Below are 18,653 nucleotides of genomic sequence, written 5' to 3' on the forward strand. Positions count from 1 at the left end.
AGGTTGAGTGGTTAGAAGCACAGAACAAAGTCCGTCCTGGGAGGGGGAGAATTCGCTGTTCTTTCACCTTAGCTCTTGAGTCTTATTCTCCCCTTTCCCTTTCAAGGTTCTACCCTGAATTACTCTTAACACAAAACAGCCCCTCTTCCGCAGATCCTTAAAAGAAAGGTTTTTACAAATACAAACTTACCACATCACACCCCTTCCTAACACCCTTTGGCGCTGCCCACTGCACCCCGGGTGGAGCCCGCCCTCTTGCCCGAGGCCTGCCAGGCCCCACGGATGGCTCCTTGTTCTCCGCCCTCCAGGCCCTGGCCATCCTTAAGTGCCCCACGGGGGTGTGTGGAATCTTCAGGGCTAGCAAGACCTTCTATTTCACTTCAGTTCAGACATGTTTGCTGACCACTTACACATTGTGTACAACGCTGTTCTGGGGCCTGGGAACACCACAGTGACCAAAACAAAAGTCCCTGCCCTCTTGGAGCTGACATTCCAGGCGGGGAAACAGGCCCACGATTAAACAGATACCCTGTCAGGTGGTGACAGCCCCAGGAGGAAGCCTCAGCGCTTTGAGGGGACGGAGTGATGTGGTCTCACCTTGTAGGGGAGGCCAAGGGTAGCCTCTGATAAAATGTTTGTGGAAACTGGAAGGTGTGACAAAGCAGCCAAAGATCGGGGAGGCAGAGGCCCCAAGGCGGAGTGTTCCAGGCACGTTTCAGAACAACAAGGAGGTTAGCATGGCGGCAGCGAGGGGCAGGCAGGACGAGGTGACTTGGAGAGGTTGCGGGTCAGGTTCCACGAGACCCTCTGATCAAGGGAGGCTGGGGCACGTTTGGGGCAGAGGAGTGATACCATTTGGCTTAGTGTTCTTTAGGATTTTTGTTATATTAAACAAAAAAGTTACCTAAAAACACACACACGCACACACACGATAGAGGATTTCTCTGACTGGTGTCAAGAATAGGCCACAGAGGGAAGAACAGACAGTAGGAAGACAGAGAAGGGATTGTGCTAGTCTAGGGGAGAGCTGTTTTGGGCCACAGTGTGGCAGGGGAGCTGGTGAGAGCGAGGTCTTGTGGGCCAGGTGCAGCACCTATTTGTGGGCCTTTCAGCTGATTGTGGGAGAGGAGGAGCCTCCTGATTCCTGAGGCCCCTCCTGCCCCAAGATTCTCTGTTGGTGCAGCTGTTCCATTCAGCACCGGTATGGCCAGGAAAATGTGGTCTCAGTCACCCCAGGGCCTTCTCCTGCCCCCAGTCACTTGTGGCCCATAAGAGTGCATCCCAAGAGCCCTGGCCAATGGAGGGACCGTCTGTGCGAGAACCGGCCACGTGTTCTCTTTGATTTGGGTCATAGATGCTAAGCCTGTTTCACAGCTGTATGCTGTCCATCAGAAGAGACAGTGGCCGGCGTACCGCACGGCAGACAGTGGGTCAGCGGAGCCACCCCCTACATTTCTCTAGTGAGAGGTGAGTGGCAGATGATTGTATGAAGGAAAGCTCTGGATGGGGAGCCAGGAAGCCTGGATGCTAGACCTGGCGCTGTAACCAATTGGCCCTATACCATGGGGACATCACGTTCCCTGCCCTCAGTTTCCCCATCTCTAAAAGCTGGGCAATGAATTAGGTGGTCTCTAGGATCTGCTCCTGACCTGACAGTCGTTGCTTCTAAGACAACAGCAGAAAGTGCCTACAATTCACGCAGGAGAGCTACGCAGCAGCGCTTCCCATACTCTGCAGCAGAGGACCTCTACTTCCATAAAACACAACAAAAACGAAGTACTAGGAGAAGGAAGTGCCGCACAGTGCCACCTGCGGTGATGGCCTCTACACGCTGGCTCTGGTTCCTGGATGGTTCTCATCCCCGACCATGGCACACCATTAATGGACTGTGCAGACCATGTGGAATGACACCGCCCACAGTTAGAGTGGTTCCAAGCACAGACCTCATTTATTCTCCAGCTCCGTCACTTTCTAAATGTGGGAGCCCCCGGACAAGCTGACCAATCTCTGTGCTTCTGTCCCATCACCCTTCTTCTGAAATGGGGATGCTGATGGTATCCACCTCCTAAGGTTGATGCGAGGATGAAGTTATTTCACCTATAAAGTGCTGAGACTAGTGCCTGCCTCACAGAATTTGTTCCGCAAGTGTTTGTGTGTGTTATTTTAGCGGAAGCTGAGCTGCTGAGATTGGGGCTAGATTTGGGGGCTGCAGTTAATCGGGAGGTGGGAGAGGGACGCGTGTGCTAAAAAAAGATGCCATTGCCCTCCCTAAGCAGCAAGGAAGTGTTTGTGGAAGGCTTTTGGCGCCAGCAGGATCTAGGCAGCTGGGCCCTGCTCAGATTGTGGCACTGCCAGCTCTCTGGGGCAGCTCTGCAGTTTGGAGCTGCTTCTGAAGCCATCTGCACCCACCTGCCTGCTCCCCTTGAAGTCACCATATACCTGTAAACATGTAGATGCCACAAGTTGCAGGGGCAGCTAGTTCAGCTGCTCACTGGCTGGTGAACCTCTTCTCTATTGAAATGTCCATAACCAATAGCTGTGGAGCCTCTTTTTGAGGCCACGTGGTGATGGGGTACTCACTGCCTCTGTGGACAGGTGCCCCTGGAGGGCAAGGGCTGCCTAGTTCCTACAGTCCCCACTAAGGGCCCAGCACCTAGGAGCTGACCTTGGGCAGGGACAACCCTGGGAATGTCTGCTAAACAAAGGAGTAGATGAACAGGCCAGTTGTTGGTCTTAGAATATTTTCATTAAGAATTATTTCCCGGCCAGGCGCAGTGGCTCACGCCTGTAATCCCAGCACTTTGGGAGGCCAAGGCAGTTGGATCACTTGAGGTCAGGAGTTTGAGACCAGCCTGGCCAACATGGTAAAACCCCGTCTCTTCCAAAAAATACAAAAATTAGCCGGGTGTGTTGGTGCACGCCTGTGTGTTGGTGCATGCCCAGCTACTCAGGAGGCTGAAGCACAAGAATTGCTTGAACCTGAGAAGTAGAGGTTGTAGTGAGATGAGATTGCACTGCTGTACTCCAGCCTGGGCGACAGAGCAACTCTGTCTCAAAAAAAAAAGAAAAAATACATAAAAATTAAAAAATAAAAATAGAAGAATTCTTTCCGGCCAGGTGCAGTGGCTCACACCTGTAATCCTAGAACTCTGGGAGGGCGAGGCAGGTGGATTGCTTGAGCCTAGGAGTTTGAGACCACCCTGATCAACATGGCAAGACCCCATCTCTACAAAAAAAAAAAATTAGCTGGGCATGGTGGCACATGCCTATAGTCCCAGCTACTCTGGAGGCTTAGGTGGGAGGATGGCTTGAGCCTAAGAGGTTGAGGCTGCAGTGAGCCATGATAGTGCCACTGCACTACAGCCTGGGCTCAATAAAAAGAATTATTTCCAAATGGAGGCCAAGGGGAGAGGATCGCCTGAGTCCAGGAATTTGAGTCTAGCTTGGGCAACATAGTGAGACCCTGTCTCTAAAACTAAAGCCCTCTGTGCCGGTCCCTCATTTCTAGTTATTACAAAGCCCTTTCAGATCTAGCAGAAACACCCTGTGAAGTCCATTCCCGAGTCCTCGTTCCACCATTGGCAACACTGCTACGTGTCTGCCCTCACCCACCAGCCATGTGTGGTCTGTGGCCACGGGGCGCATGTTTTGTCTCTGTGTTGCTCGCTGTCCCGTGGGGGGGCTCCAGCCAGCTCCCTGCATCCTTGGTGCTCCATGGTCACCTGTTGCCTTCGGCGGCCAGCCCGTGAGGCCCAGGCCACAGCCCTCCTGCCTGTTAGGAGTTTGGTACAGGAATAGGGAAAAGGGAGAGGGATGTAGCAGCAGCCAGCTCTAAAGATCCTCTCCCATTGTTCCAAGGAGTCAGTCTTTTTCTGCAGGCAAGCCATGGAAGGATTTTAAGTAGTGGAGTGACACCGTGAGACTTCGGCCTTACCCGATTGATTCATCCTGCCTCAAGGCGTCTGGGTCAGGTGGTCAGGAAAGGCCTGGACAGTGAGAGTGAGTCCAGGTTGCTGCAGGCTTTTAGGTGAAAGACAAGAGGCCCCAAAGACCTCTTCAGTAGAGATGAGAGGGACGAGACCTTTCCAGACCTGGTGAGTTACAGGCCATGAGGAGTGAAAAAGAAGATCGGGTTAAGATTTCTGGCTCTGAGGACTGTCCTCCCAGGGCAGCCAGAAGCTTGGTCCTTCCTGTCTCAGTGGTCCTTGTGGATTTCAGTTGAATGGAACTGTCCTTTGTGGCTTTGAAGGGTTATGTATCGGGGAAGAGGGACTATCTCTCACCCAAACCAGGACACCTAAAGATTAGCAAAGGTTACCTGCTCCCAGGAGAAACCTGTTGCTGGGAGTGTCATTGAGGCTTGTTAGCAAGGAATGGCCTGCACCGTGGGACGCGTCGGGCCACCTGGTCCCAGGGATGCTGCGGTATAAGTGGTAAGGGATAGGGGAGCTTTTGAGGAGGACCAGACGTTGTCTCCCCACCAGGAACGGGCTGAGAGAGCCTCCTGAGCACAAGGAGGAAGCTCCTGTCAATTCGAGGAGACCCCTGTGTGAGAAGAAGGGCAGGAAGGCTCCAAAGGGGGTCTTCACGGCAGCCGCTCACATAGACACTCGTGTCTAGTGTCAAGTGGGAGGGTGGCACTAATGGCTGCTGCCATCTGTGCCAGCTAGCAGCTGCCTGCTCCGCTCCATCATTGTTATTTATGTTACCTAGGACTCTTCTGTGTTGCCGGTGCCAGCCCCTGCTGGGGCATGTGGAGGTCGTGGAGGACAGGGCATGGGCTCACGAGGACGCAGCTCCATCCAGCTGCTTGCCTGTGGCTTTTTCTGCTCAGGAGTCACGTTTTGGCTCAGGCTTCCCTGATCCACATGAGCAGATTGAGGACGGTGGTTTGACCTTCTTCTGTCTCTGCCTAGGGCTTAGTTCTTTCAGAAATGAGCATTGGGATCAGGGTAGGGAATGCTACTCTGTTGCTATTGGGAAGAGAAGGGTCAGAATTACCAAGTTCAAACCGCACCCAGATGTCCCACCTCCTACTTGCAACTCCACTGTAGTGATGGAAATGCTAGTGTATTTTTGGTCCTTTTGGCACTAACTACCCTGTCACGCTTTTGGAGTTTCTGATTCTTGAGAGGCAAGTAGTCTACCGATTGGGAGCTAGGCAGCCTAGTTTGGGATCCCAGCCCCTCTTCTCACTAGGAGCATGACCCGGGGAGGTTACTTAGCTTCTCTGCACCTTAGTTTCCTCAAGTCTGAGGTGGGAATAGTAATATTACCTACTTGGGAGGGCTGTTGTAAGAACTAAGTGGGTTAACAGATAGATACAATGTATTTAGATAGGTATCAGTTATCTGTTGATAATAATATTACCTACTTGGCAGGATTGTTGTAAGAACTAAGTAGGTTAATAGATACAATGTATTTAGATAGGTGTCAGTTATCTGTTGCCCTTGTATCAAATCACTGCCCCAACATAGTGCCTTAAGATAGCAACATTTATTTTGCTTGAGTTTGCAGTTTGAGCAGGGCTTGGTGGAGTTGTCTTTTTGCTGTTGTACGTAACATCTGTTTGGACAGCTTAACTGGGGCTGGAGGATCTATTTTTGAGATGGCTCCTTGATGTGGCAGAGAAGTTGGTGCTACCCCTTGGCTGGGTGCTCAGCTGGGCTGTGAACTGGAGCCTTGAGTCTTCTGTCTGCACCAGCTGCTTGGGCTTCCTTACAAAATGGTTGCTCGGTTCCACAAGTAAGTGCCCCAAGAGAATAAGGTGAAAGTATTTTTATAACCTCAGAAGTCATGAGGTTCCCTGTTCTCTGTTAGTCACAGCAGTCATAAAGGCTCACCTGATTTCAAGAGGAAGAAACACAGCTTCTACCTGTGTGTGGAGAAGCAGCAAGGTTCCAGAAGAGCATGGAAGGTGAAAGATAATGCGGTGGCCATTTATGGAAAATAAAATCTGCCGCAGGATAGGTTTTGGCATACAGTAAACCTCAACAAATGTTTGCTACCAGTAGTTTAAAATCATCATCTGCATTCCTCATCCCCGACTCCTCTTCCTTAGAGAGATGGTAGTATAGTGCAGTGGTTAAGTGCATCTGCTCTGGTGGCAAGCTGCTAGGGGCCAAAGCCTGGCTCAGCCCTTATAGCTGTGTGATCTTGGACAGATTGTTTAGCCTCTTGGCAAATTTCTTGAAAGATAAACAAACCACCAAAGCTTTCTCAATAAGAATAGAAAACCTGAGTGGCCCTATATGTACTGAAGAAGGTTAATATGTAATAAAAACTTTCCCAGAAAGAAAACTTCAGGCCCAGATAGCTTTCCTGGTGAACGGTATACATTAGGGAAGAAATAATACCAATTTGACACAAATTCTTCCAGAAAATTGAAAAGGAGGAAATATTTTCTAGCCCATTTTATGAGGCCAGCATTACCTTGATACCCAAACCAGCAAAGACCTCACAAGGAAAGAAACCTCGGACCAACATTCTACACGGATGTAGATGCAAAAAATTTAAACAATTTTGCAAATGCAATAATATATAAAAAGGATAATACATCATGACTAGGGGGACTTAGCTCAGGAATGCAGGGTTGGTTTAATGTTCAAAAATCAATCATTGTAATTCACTATATTAACCAAAGGAAAAAGAAAAACCATATACAGGTTGAATATCCCTTATCCAAAATGCTTGGGTCCAGAAGTATTTCCGATTTTTAATTTTTTTCAGATTTTGGAGTATTTGCGTTATACTTACTGGTTGAGTATTTCTAACCTGAATATCCAGAATGCTCCAGTGAACGTTTTCTTTGAGTGTCATGTTGGTGCTCAAAAAGTTTGGAATTTTGGAGCATTTGGATTTCAGATTTTCGGATTAGGGATTCTCAAGCTGAAATCATCTCGAAGTAGACACAGAAAGTGTTTGACAAAATGCAACACCCATTCATGGTAAGATCTCACAACAAACTAGGCACAGAAAGGAATTTCCTCAGACTGATAAAGGATATCTACGAGAAACTTCTAGCTTACATCATACTGAGTGGTGAAAAACTGAATGCTTTTCCCCTAAGATCAGGAATGAGACAAAGATATCCCTTCTCATCATTTTTATTCAGTATTGTAAGGGAGCTTCTAAACAGTGCCATAAGGCAAGAAAAACGAAAGGCATCTGGATTAGAAAGGAAGAAATAAAACTGTCCTTATTCTCAGACAACATGATCTTCTGTATAGAAACGCCCATGACATATTTACAAAAGAGGCCACTAGACCTTTTAAGTGAGTTTATCAAGGTTGCAGGCTAGAAGGCCAACATATAAAAATCAGCTGTATTTCTGTATCCTAACAACAAACAATTGGAAATTGAGATTAAAAGGCAACTTCATTTGCAACAGCATCGGAAATATAAAAGACTTAGTGATAAATCTAAGAAAAGATGTGTCAGGTCTGTATACTGAAAGCTGTAAAATATTACTAAGAAAATTTAAAAAGATCAAAATAAACTGACAGATATACCATATTCATGGGTTTTTAAGAGTCTCCCCAATAGATCTGACATAATTTCAATCAAATCCCAGCAGACTTTTTTTTTTAAGTAGAAATTGACTAATTATTATTATTAATTAATTTTTTTTTTTTGAGACAGAGTCTCAGTCTGTAAGCCAAGCTGGAGTGCAGTGGCGCAATCTCAGCTCACCGCAACCTCCACCTCCTGGGCTCAAGTGAGTCTCATGCCTCAGCCTCCTGAGTAGCTGGGACTACAGGCGCATGCCACCATGCCCGGCTAATTTTTTGTATTTTAGTAGAGACGGGCGGGGTTTCACTATGTTGCCCAGGGTGGTCTCGAACTCCTAAGCTCAGGTGATCCACCTGCCTTGGCCTCCCTAAGTGCTAGGATTACAGGCATGAGCCACTGTGCCTGGCCTGTTATTATTATTGAGACAGGATCTTGCTCTGTCACCCAGGCTGGAGTGCAGTAGCTATGATCATAGCTCACTCTAGCCTTGACCTCTCAAGCTCAAGCCATCCTCCCACCTCAGCCTCCTGAGTAGCTGGGACTACAGGTGCAAGCCACCATGCCCAGCTATTTTTTATACTTTTTGTTATGAGGTCATAGTATGTTACCCAGACTGGTCTTCAACTCCTGACCTGAAGCGATCCATCCACCTCAGCCTCCCAAAGTGCTGGGATTATAGGCACATGCCACTGTGCTTGCCTAATTTTTTTACTTAAAAAAAATTTTTTTTTTGTAGAGATAGGGTCTCACTATATTCCCCAGGCTAGGTTTCTATTGATTGATTGATTGATTGGACTCTTGGATTAGGGACAAAGAAATTGACTAATTCTAAAGTTCATATGGAAGTTCAAATTTTTTTACTTTTTAAATTTTTTTTTTTTGTAGAGGTAGGGTCTCACTATATTCCCCAGGCTGGGTATGCATGTATGTATGTATTTATTTATTTGGACTCCTGGATTAGGGACAAAGAAATTGACTAATTCTAAAGTTTATATGGAAGTTCAGAAGAACTGGGCTAGCCAAAACAACTTTGAAAAAAATATGAACAAAGTTGGAGGATTAACACTGCCTGATTTTAAGACTTATAAAGCCTCAGTAACCAAGACATCGAGGTATTGATGTGAAATCTTTGTTTTTATTTTTCTTTTTTAAAGACAGTGTCTTTCTGTGTTGTCCAGGCTGGCTTGAACTACTGGGCTAAGGTGATCCTCTCACCTCAGCCTCCTAGGCACTGGGACTACAGGCTTACACCACTGTGCCTTGATGTGGAATCTTTTTTATTTTAATTTTTTTGTAGAGACAAGATCTCACTGCGTTGCCCAGGTTAATCTTGAACTCTTGGGCTCAAGTGATCCTCCCCACCTTAGCCTGATGTGAAATCTTTATGACCAGGGGTTAGGCAAAGATTTCTTAGATATGATATCAAAAGTATTAATCCATAAAAAGAATAAATGGATAAGTTGGCCTTCATCAAAATTTGTAAAACTTCTGTTTTAGTGACCTTTGAAAGGCACTGTTAGAAAAGAATGAGAAGACAAACCACAAATGGGAAAATATTTGCAAATCATCATGTATCTGATAGACTTGTATCCAGAGTGTATAAAAGAGCTCTCAATTTAATAATAAAAAAAAAGAAAAAGGTGAAAGATCTGGACACTTCAAAGAAGATAGATGGTAAATAAACATATGGAAAGTTGTGCAACATTATTGTTAGGAAAATGCAAATTTCAAGCATGAACATGAAAAACAATGATATACCACTACCCATCTTTTGAAATGCTTAAAGTTGGCCAGGCGCAGCAGCCCATGCCTGTGATCCCAACACTTTGGGAGGCCGAGGCGGGCAGATCACCTGAGGTTCGGAATTCAAGGCCAGCCTGGCCAACATGGTGAAACGTCTCTACTAAAAATATTTAAAAATTAGCCAGGCATGGTGGTGCGTGCCTGTAATCCCAGCTACTCAGGAGGCTGAGGCAGGAGGATCACTTGAACCCAGGAAGTGGAGGTTTTAGTGAGCTGAGATGGCACCACTGCACTCCAGCCTGGGCGACAGAGTGAGACCGTCTCAAAAAAAAAAAAAAATGCTTAAAAAGAGCGAGCATATCAACAGTTGGTGGAGATGTGGAGGAACTGGAACTCTCATATACTGCTAGTGAGAATGTAAAATGGTACAATCATTTTGGAAAACAGTTTGGCAGTTTTGTAAAAAGTTAAACATGTGATCTAGCTATTTCACCTCTAGCTTTACCAAAAGAAACAAAAAGTGTACATCCACACAAAGCCCTGAATGAATGTTCATAGCAACTTTGAAATAACCCAAAACTAGAAACAATCTTAGCTGTTCATCAACAGGTGAATGGATAAACTGTGGTATATTTATTACTCAGCAAAGAAACAGAATGAACTGTTGGTACACAGTGCAATGTGGATGAGTTTTTAAATAATTATTCTGAGTGAAAGAATCCAAGCAAAAAAAAAGACTACATACTGTATTATTCCATTTATATAATACATCATGTAAATATATATATTATATGTAATAATAGATGCAGATTCATCTAATAGTAACAGAATGCAGCTCAGTGGTTGCCTGGGCATGGATGGGCAAGGAGGCACGGGAGGGTTATGGATATGTTATCTTGATTGTTGTGATGATTTTACAGATATGCACGTAGGTCAAAATGTATCAAACTGTATTCTTAAAATATATACTGTTTATTGTGGCACAACTTAGCGAAACTGTTTTTAAAAATGGGTAGGGTTGGCCAGGCACGATGGCTCACATCTATAATCCCAGAACTTTGGGAGGCCCAGGCGGGTGGATCACTTGAGGTCAGGAGTTTAAGACCAACCTGGCCAACATGCTAAACCCTGTCTCTACTAAAAATACAAAAATTAGCTGGGCATGGTGTTAGGCACCTGTAATCCCAGCTGCTCGGGAGGCTGAGGTGGGAGAATCACTTGAACCTCGGAAGCAGAGGTTACAGTGAGCTGAGATCACGCCATTGCATTCCAGCCTGGGTGACAGAGTGAGACTCCATCTCAAAAAAAGGAAGAAAGAAAAAACAAGGGTGGAGTGGCTGGGCACAGTGGCCCACACCTGTAATCTCAACACTTTGGGAGGCCAAGGCAGAAGAATTGCTTGATTCCAGGAGTTCGAGACCAGCCTGGGCAACAAAGGGAGACTCCACCTCTATAAAAATACAAAAATTAGCCAGGCGTGATGGTGCATGCCTGTAGTCCTAGCTGCTCAGGAGGCTGAAGTAGGAGGATCTCTTGAACTCAAGAGTTTAAGACTGCAATGAGCCATGCTTGTGCCGCTGTACTCCATTCTGGGTGACAGAGTGAGATCTTGTGTCTTAAAAAAAGCAGGGAGCTGGGGAAGTAAGTTGCATGTGGCTGGACCTCATTGCTCATGACTGGCAATTCAAGATCAGAAGGACCTTTTGCAACCCAGCAGGCCTTTGAGCCCTGTCAGTCTCCTGTCCCTTGCATGGTTGTAAGCCTTACACATTTGCTTTCTGCCAACTGTGCAAATCCCAGTATCAAAACATTAGATTTTTTTTTTTTTTTTTGAGACGGAGTCTTGCTCTGTCCCCCAGGCTAGAGTAGTGATGCGATTTTGGCTCACTGCAACCTCCGCCTCCCAGGTTCAAGTGATTCTCATGCCTCAGCCTCCTGAGTAGCTGGGATTACAGGCACCTTCCACCACGCCTGGCTACTTTTTGTATTTTTAGTAGAGTTGAGGTTTTGTCATGTTGGCCATGCTGGTCTTGAACTCCTGATCTCAGGTGATCCGTCCACCTTGGCCTCCCAAAGTGCTGGGATTACAGGCGTGAGCCACCGTGCTCAGCCCAAAACATTAGATTCTTTATCTTCCTTCGGGTGGATCATTTACAATGCAGATTTACAGATTTCTCTCAGATTCACTTCTTCCCAATGAATGCGTCATTTCTTGGTGCCGTTGTTTACTGTGTGTAAACTACTGAATTTCAGGATTATTGTGACAAACCCAACTCAGACTCAATGGGATCTGTTTATCAGCTTGGATTTTGGAAATTAAGGGGTAGATTTCAGGCACAGCTGGATTCCAGAGGTGCAGCTGGTGTTAGTGTTATCTATTGGTTATTGTTTTGTTGTCTGCTGACTTCCTTCTCAGGCAAGTTTTCCCCATGTGGTGGCAGAGGCAGCCGCCAGCAACAACAGGGAAAGAGCCCCTCCTTCCTAATTGGCCTGGGAACAGTTTCAAGTTCAGCTGTCACTGGCTGGACTTGGGTCAGCAGCTATGCCTGAATGCCCAAGGGAGATGAGGGGCTTATTGCCAGGCCCAGGTCACCTGCCTGGGAACCAGGGGTGGAGTTGGCCAGAGCCAAACAATGTGGACAGAGAGCAAGGAGGGGATGTTCTACAGAGACAGATGGCCCAGTGTTGCTGGGAGAGGAGGGCGTGGCTGTCAGCAGGGAAGAGCAACAGATGGCCCTGCACCAGGGGACAAATCCAGTTGTTTTTAATTTTTAACTAAGTAGGATATTAATATGCTTCCAAAAGTCAAAGGATTCAAAAAGGGTCTGTCTACCCTATTCCTTATAGCCCTTGTAGGGCGACTGATTTCATTGACTTCTCATTTTTCCTTCCTGTGTTTCTTTTGGTAAAGATAAGTCGATGTATTTATGTTTTCTTGTTTCCTCCCTTTTGTACACATTAGAGAGCATACTATTTGTACTCTTTTGTACTTGCTTTTTTCACTTATCAAGAGAAAGGAAAACATTTGTAACCAGCTGTGCTAATTCTTGCCATTATCAGTACACAGCATGGAGGTTGATTTGAAGATGACGGGATGTCCATGTGAGCATATGAAGGGACTGCCAGGCTTTTCTTCTGCCAAACGGTGTCTTTTTGCTCTTAAGCCTGGGTGCCAAGTGAATCTCTCTCCTCTTCCAATGCAGATGGCGGCAGCTATGCCATCCACGACTCCCAGGCCCCCAGTCTCAGCTCTGGGGGTGAGAGTTCCCCCTCCAGCCCCGCACACAACTGGGAGATGAATTACCAAGAGGCAGCAATCTACCTCCAGGTGAGTATCTCCAGTCAGGCCCTGGCAGTTGTCTGCACCTGTTGGTGGGGTGGGGCAGCCAAGACTCTGTTAGGTGCCCAGAAATTCAGTTCCAGCATCAGTTCATGCTGCTGCTGCTCGTGTGTGAGCTTCAGGTTCATAAGATGGGCTGACCTGACTGTGCTCATAGGGGAAAACTGCTGTGCACCAGCTTGTCTTCAGACCCCTGTTTAGGGCTGTGCCAACCCCCACAATTTCCGGAGTCTGGCCACTCGGCCTTCCCTGCCACCCTCCCTCTTCTCAGGGCACACTGAGAGGCCACGTTCTCAGGAGGGAATTCTTTACATACTGAATGCGGTAGCTTTATTCCTGTTTAACTTGTTGCTGCTTTCCTGTTTGCTATTTTAGGAATTTTTTTTTTTTTGAAAAATATATTTTTGGCCAGGCATGGTCGCTCATGCCTGTAATCCCAGCACTTTGGGAGGCCAAGGCCTGCAGATCACTTGAGATCAGGAGTTCGAGATCAGCCTGGCCAACATAGTGAAACCCTGTCTCTACTAAAAATACAAAAAATTAGCTGGGCGTTGGTGGGCGCCTGTAATCCCAGCTACTCGGGAGGCTGAGACAGGAGAATCGCATGAGATGGAGGTTGCAGTGAGCCGAGATCGCACCACTGCACTTCAGCCTGGGTGACAATGCAAGACTCTGTCTCCAAAACAAACAAAAAATTTTGTATTTTTGTGTGAAAGTAATACATGCTTATTACAATAAATTTAGATACAAAGAGGAATGAAGAAACATTCACCTAAGGCAGTCACTGTCAACATTATTTCCTTCCAGGTTTAAAAAAAATGTATTATAAGAATAATATATCTGTTTTCCAAAAAAGTCATATGGTATGTGCAATTTTATAGTCTGCTTTTTTTTTTCATAGCATAAGCTTTTTTTTTTTTTTTTTTTTTCTTTTTTTGGAGACAGTCTCACTCCATCACCCAGGCTGGAGTTGAATTGCAGTGGCTTGATCTCGGCTCAGTGCAACCTCTGCCTCCCGGGTTCAAGCGATTTTCCTGCCTCAGCCTCCGGAGTAGCTGGGACCACAGGCACGTGCCACCATGCCCGGCTAATTTTTGTATTTTTAGTAGAGATGGGGTTTCGCCATGTTGGCCAGGCTGATCTCAAACTCTTGACCTCAGGTGATCCGCCGACCTCAGCCTCCCAAAGTGCTGGGGTTACAGGCATGAGCCACCACACCTGGCTATTTAAATAGCTTTAAATTATATCAGGTAAATTATTCTAATTTACTTAACCTGATAATCTTGAATATTTTCCCTTATTGTAAATTATAGTCCAAGGACAATCTATACGTAGCACCCCCCACCCCCTTACATCTAGGATTATTTTACTAGGAAAGTAAAAGAAATGGAAATTCTAAGAAATGGAATTACCGGGTAGAAGGAATCAACAATTTTTAGGGCCTTGATGTTTCAGCATGGAATCCTCTGCACAGGAAGTATTTCCTCTTTACTGAGGGCCCCACTGGCGGTGACATTTTAACCTTAATCTTGCCAATCTTGTCACTATCAGATTTCAGTTTCTGGTTTGCATTGAGTAAGAGCTTGGATGAGGAAATAGACTTTTTCTTAAATGCATTCGAATCATAATTTTCCCTAATCTTTCTTATGTGAAGCAGCTCTCCACTGCAAGTATTTGTTTTGTCATTTAAAAAGGATTTAGTGAAATTCAAGCCTGGGCAACATGGCAGAACCCATCTCTGGTAAAAATACAAAAATTAGCCAGGCGTAGCATGTGTACCCTCTAGTTCTAGCCACTTGTGAGACTGAGGTGAAGGGATCGCCTGAGTCTGGGAAGTTGAGGCTCCAGTGAGCCGTGTTTGTGTCACTGCACTTCAGCCTGGGTGACAAAATGAGACCCTGTCTAAAAAAAAAAAAAAAAAAAGATTTAATGAAATTTAGACATTTGTTTGATGGTTGTTCAATCATCTGTTTCTCATATGTTCATGCAGCATCATATACACCTAAATGATCATGTTTTGTTTCAAATTAAGGCAACAGAATGTTTTAGGGAAATTGTCCCAAGCGCAGGCATACTTGTTAATGATCTAGCAGGGACATCTTATGCACATCACCTTCTCTGAGGCCGGATAAGAGCGTGGGATAGGTCAGAACACAGACTCAGAATGGTTGAAGCCCTAAGGATCCTGATCATTCCTTCCTTTCCTAAGCAGGTGAGGACATTGGTAATGAACATAGGAACTTTAAGGGGGCACCTGCTAATCTTTGTAACAAGCCTCTGAGGCTGTAGTGATCATCTCCCACTTTACAGATGTGGCAACTGAGACTCAGAGGGGCCAAATGATGCCCAAGGCCACCCAGCTAGGGAGTTGCAGAGCTCCACATTTAAACTGTTTAGCCTCCAGATGATGTTTTTTATTCTGTGTGCTATTGCATCACTTATGAACTGACCTTGTGCATCTCCTTGAAAATGGGCCATGTACTTGTGGGAAAAAGCAGTTATGGAACAGCTGGTGTTGTATGATCATTTTAAATTGATGTCATACAGCAGCATGTGCATGTGGGTATGTATGTGTACAGATATCCATACATATCTCAAAAATTGTTTAAATATTAAAGGTGATTATCTCTGGCTGATGGAATTTTTACTACCTTACAAATTTATATTGTTTAAATTATTTTACCAAAAATGCATTATTTTTAAAAAAATTAAAGAAAAACTTGGATTTCACAGTCATTCACGGCTGTTTCTAGAGGATGAGATGGCCTGTTTTTCTTGAGACAGACTCTCACTCCGTTGCCCGGGCTGGAGTATAGTGGTGCGACCTTGGCTCGCTGCAACCTCCTCCCAGGTTCAGGTGATTCTCCTGCCTCAGCCACCCAGGTAGCTGGAATTACAGGCACCTGCCGCCACACCAGGCTAATTTTTGTATTTTTAGTAGAGATGGGGTTTCACCATGTTGGTCAGGTTGGTCTCAAATTTATGACCTCAAGTGATCCACCTGCTTAAGCCTCCCAAAGTGCTGGGATTACAGGCATGAGCCTCTGTGCCCGGCTCAAGATGGCCTGCCTTTTCACGCTTGCAGCCAAGCTGCGGGTCCTGCAGTGAGCCAGGTTGCTGGTGTGCATGGATAATTGGCCCTCGCTGCTTTGAGGGTGTCTGGTGCCTGCAGTTTCCCCTCTTCCCACATTTTACCTGTTAACTCACTCATCCTCTGGAGCCACGTGCTCAGCAGTCCTGACGCCTTTGAAACAGTACTCATTTCTGTGTGGACTTGGACCCCAGGGAGCGGAGAGCAAAGGCCTAGAAATCGCTACAACTGGCCTTCCTTATTTTTCCAAATCTAGTTTATGATCAGCCAGGAAACAGGGCCGATATTCTCTGGGGTTTTCATCAGAATCCAGTGCCATGGGTGATATTTCCATCTGTTGGTGGAGACCTCATTACCCCCATCTCTTCTGGGACAACTCCAAGTCCTAGAGTTAAAATCTGAGCCCCATGTCAGTGGTTCTTCTAGCGAGACCTTCATTCCTGGTTATTTGTTGGAAGAAATTGCCCAAGAAATACATTTTTTTTTTTGGTTATTGAAACCAGAAGCTCCCCAGGCCACTGTGTGTGGCCCCCTGCCCACTGCTGTGGTCATGGAGGTGGTAGTGAAAACCACAGCCCTGCACAGAGCACAGAACTGTGTTCAACTTACCTTCTGTTGACTGCCAAGGTGTTTGCTCCCTTTGACATGCCTGCCCCTGCCGGGTTTGCTGCTGGGTCTGTGGTTTGTCTCGATTTTTTGCTAATGGGGCGAGCAGTTTATCCAGCTTCAGGGAAGTGACTCACTCACAGTCACTCTGCAAACTGCAGGCAGGGCCTTTCCCAGAATAAGTTTGTGAGAATGGGCCGAGCATGGTGGCTCACACCTGTAATCCCAGCACTTTGGGAGGCTGAGGTGGGCAGATCACTTGAGCTCAGGAGTTCGAGACCAGCCTGGGCAACATGGTGAAACACCATCTCTACTAAAAATACAAAAATTAGCCAGGTGTGGTGGTGCACGCCTGTCATTCCAGCTACCCGGGAGGCTGAGGCAAGAGAATTGCTTGAACCCAGGAGGCGGAGGTTGCAGTGAGCCAAGATTGCACCACTGCACTCCAGCCTGGGTGACAGAGCAAGACTCTGTCTCAAAAAAAAAGAAAAAAAAAAGTTGTTACATAACATATAAATATATCAAAATATCACATTGTACCCCATATACAATTATTATTTGTCAATTAAAACAAAGTAGGGTATGGGGAATCCTGAATTAAGTAAATGTATAGTAGCAATACGCCACTGTGCAGCTCTTTTTGTTTATTTTTTTGGAGACGGGGCCCAGGTTGGAGTATAGTGGTACAACTTTGGCTCACTGCAACCTCCACCTCCTGGGTTCAAGTGATTCCCCTGCCTCAGCCTCCCAAGTAGCTGGGACTACAGGCGCATGCCACCATACCCAGCTAATTTTTGTATTTTTAGTAGAGACGAGGTTTCACCATGTTGGCCAGGCCGGCCTCGAACTCCTGACCTCAGGTGATCCACCCGCCTCAGCCTCCCAAAGTGCTGGGATTACAGGCATGAGCCACTGCACCTGTTTTGGGTAGCTCTTGATGGGTGTTAAAGGGTCTGACTAGGCAGGGTTATTGGCTTCTTTTTTTCTGGTAATGTTCATATAACTTACGATAATAGCAAATACCTGTAGTGAGCTGACTGTGTGGCAGACACCACCCTAACTGCCTCACAAATGTCCTCACCTTTCCTCTTCACAACAGCTCCAGGAGGAAGCACTAATGTTAGTTCCTTTATCGTTGAAGAAGCTCAGCCTCAAGGGTGAAGGAACCTTCCCAGCATTCCTCAGGGAAGGAGTAGAAAGCCAGGGTTCAGCACGTGTGGTTCCTCCCAGGCCCCTGAGCTCTTTACACTCTGCTGGGCACTCCTAGAGGGAGAACTTGGCCTCTGAGGGGATTGGACATGCCTGTTTCTCTTTACCTCCTCTCAGGACCTTTTTTCTTTTTCTTTCTTTTTTTTTTTTTTTTGAGACCAGGTCTTGCTCTGTGGTCCAGGCTGGAGCGCAGTGGCACGATCTTGGCTCACTGCAGCTTTGACCTCCCGGGCTCAAGTGATTCTCCAACCTCAGCCTCCCAAGTGGCTGGCACCAGGGGTCTCAACATGTTGCCCAGGCTGGTCTCAAACTCATGGGCTCAAGCAATCCTCCTGCCTTGGCCTCCCAAAGTGTTGGGATTACAGGCATGAGCCACCGCACCCAGCCCCTCCCCTCTTTTTTAAGAGATGGTGTCTTGCTGTGTTGCCCAGGCTAGACTCAAAGTCCTGGCTCAAGGGATCTTCCCGCCTTGGCCTCCGGAGTAGCTGGGATGTCACCACACCTGGCTGTCTCTGGACCCTTTTAGTCTTTGGTTCCTCCGAGTGGTTTTTAAGAAGCAGCAAATCTCTTGAGCCCATCAGCAGGCAGGAGTGAGACCTGACCACCGTGAGTTTCGCGAAGATCATTTTGATTTTCCAGCATCTTCTGTCTCTGGCCTGAATCTCTCCTCGCCTGCCTGGGGCCTTCCTTTCCTCCCCTGCCCGCGGCTCCTCTTTGGCGTTGGATGGGTCTCCAGGCTTACATGCCCACACTACTCTCATCTTTTCAGGAAGGCGAGAACAACGACAAGTTCTTCACCCACCCCAAGGATGCCAAGGCGCTGGCGGCCTACCTCTTTGCACACAATCACCTCTTCTACCTGATGGAGCTGGCCACGGCCCTGCTGCTGCTGCTGCTCTCCCTGTGCGAGGCCCCCGCCGTCCCCGCACTCCGGCTTGGCATCTATGTGAGCGCACATGCTCCTCATACGGGGGGCTGGGAGCCACGGCTTTCAGGGCAAGCGATGGAACTCCAAAAAGGAACATTCTGGGAGGGCAAACACTGCAAACGGACTTAAAACAGAGAGATACGAGGTGGTCATAGAGGCCTTGGGAGCGGAAATGCCTGGGTGTCCCTGCTGGAGTGAATGGCCTTCACCCAGTCTCTCTGGGA

General features: G+C 46.7%; 1 protein-coding gene across 15 annotated transcripts in view, besides 3 other annotated features; it reads left to right on the forward strand.

Annotated features, from left to right (window-relative positions):
* The window catches only part of TPCN1 (two pore segment channel 1), a 77,122-nt gene that overhangs the window by 26,446 nt on the left and 32,023 nt on the right, over positions 1–18,653 (forward strand). For 13 of the 15 annotated variants that reach the window (XR_001748766.3, NM_001143819.3, XM_017019480.3 and 10 more), the window contains 2 exons: positions 12,459–12,583; positions 18,271–18,447. Coding sequence is in view for 14 of the 15 variants with exons in the window: in NM_001143819.3 (NP_001137291.1) it covers positions 12,459–12,583; positions 18,271–18,447 (302 nt within the window). In the remaining variant the exon portion in view is untranslated. Of the gene's footprint in view, positions 1–12,070; positions 12,358–12,458; positions 12,584–18,270; positions 18,448–18,653 lie in introns of those variants that run through there. The other 2 variants (XM_047429012.1, XM_047429014.1) reach the window with 2 other exon arrangements.
* Positions 3,697–4,197: an enhancer, noted in NCBI's record as "H3K4me1 hESC enhancer chr12:113689411-113689911 (GRCh37/hg19 assembly coordinates)". NCBI's record gives its function as "activates a minimal SCP1, AML or CMV promoter by ChIP-STARR-seq in naive H9 embryonic stem cells {active_cell/tissue: H9 hESC(naive)}" and the evidence as "EXISTENCE:reporter gene assay evidence [ECO:0000049][PMID:30033119]".
* Positions 8,862–9,031: an enhancer, noted in NCBI's record as "experimental_24607 CRE fragment used in MPRA reporter constructs". NCBI's record gives its function as "activates a minimal promoter by MPRAs in K562 erythroleukemia cells, with activity observed for both the introgressed and non-introgressed 12:113694661 variant alleles {active_cell/tissue: K562}" and the evidence as "EXISTENCE:reporter gene assay evidence [ECO:0000049][PMID:34662402]".
* Positions 14,037–14,216: an enhancer, noted in NCBI's record as "active region_7073". NCBI's record gives its function as "activates an Ori minimal core promoter by ATAC-STARR-seq in GM12878 lymphoblastoid cells {active_cell/tissue: GM12878}" and the evidence as "EXISTENCE:reporter gene assay evidence [ECO:0000049][PMID:35858748]".

The sequence above is a fragment of the Homo sapiens genome, chromosome 12 (genome assembly GCF_000001405.40).
Source record: "Homo sapiens chromosome 12, GRCh38.p14 Primary Assembly".
Lineage (NCBI taxonomy): Eukaryota > Metazoa > Chordata > Mammalia > Primates > Hominidae > Homo > Homo sapiens.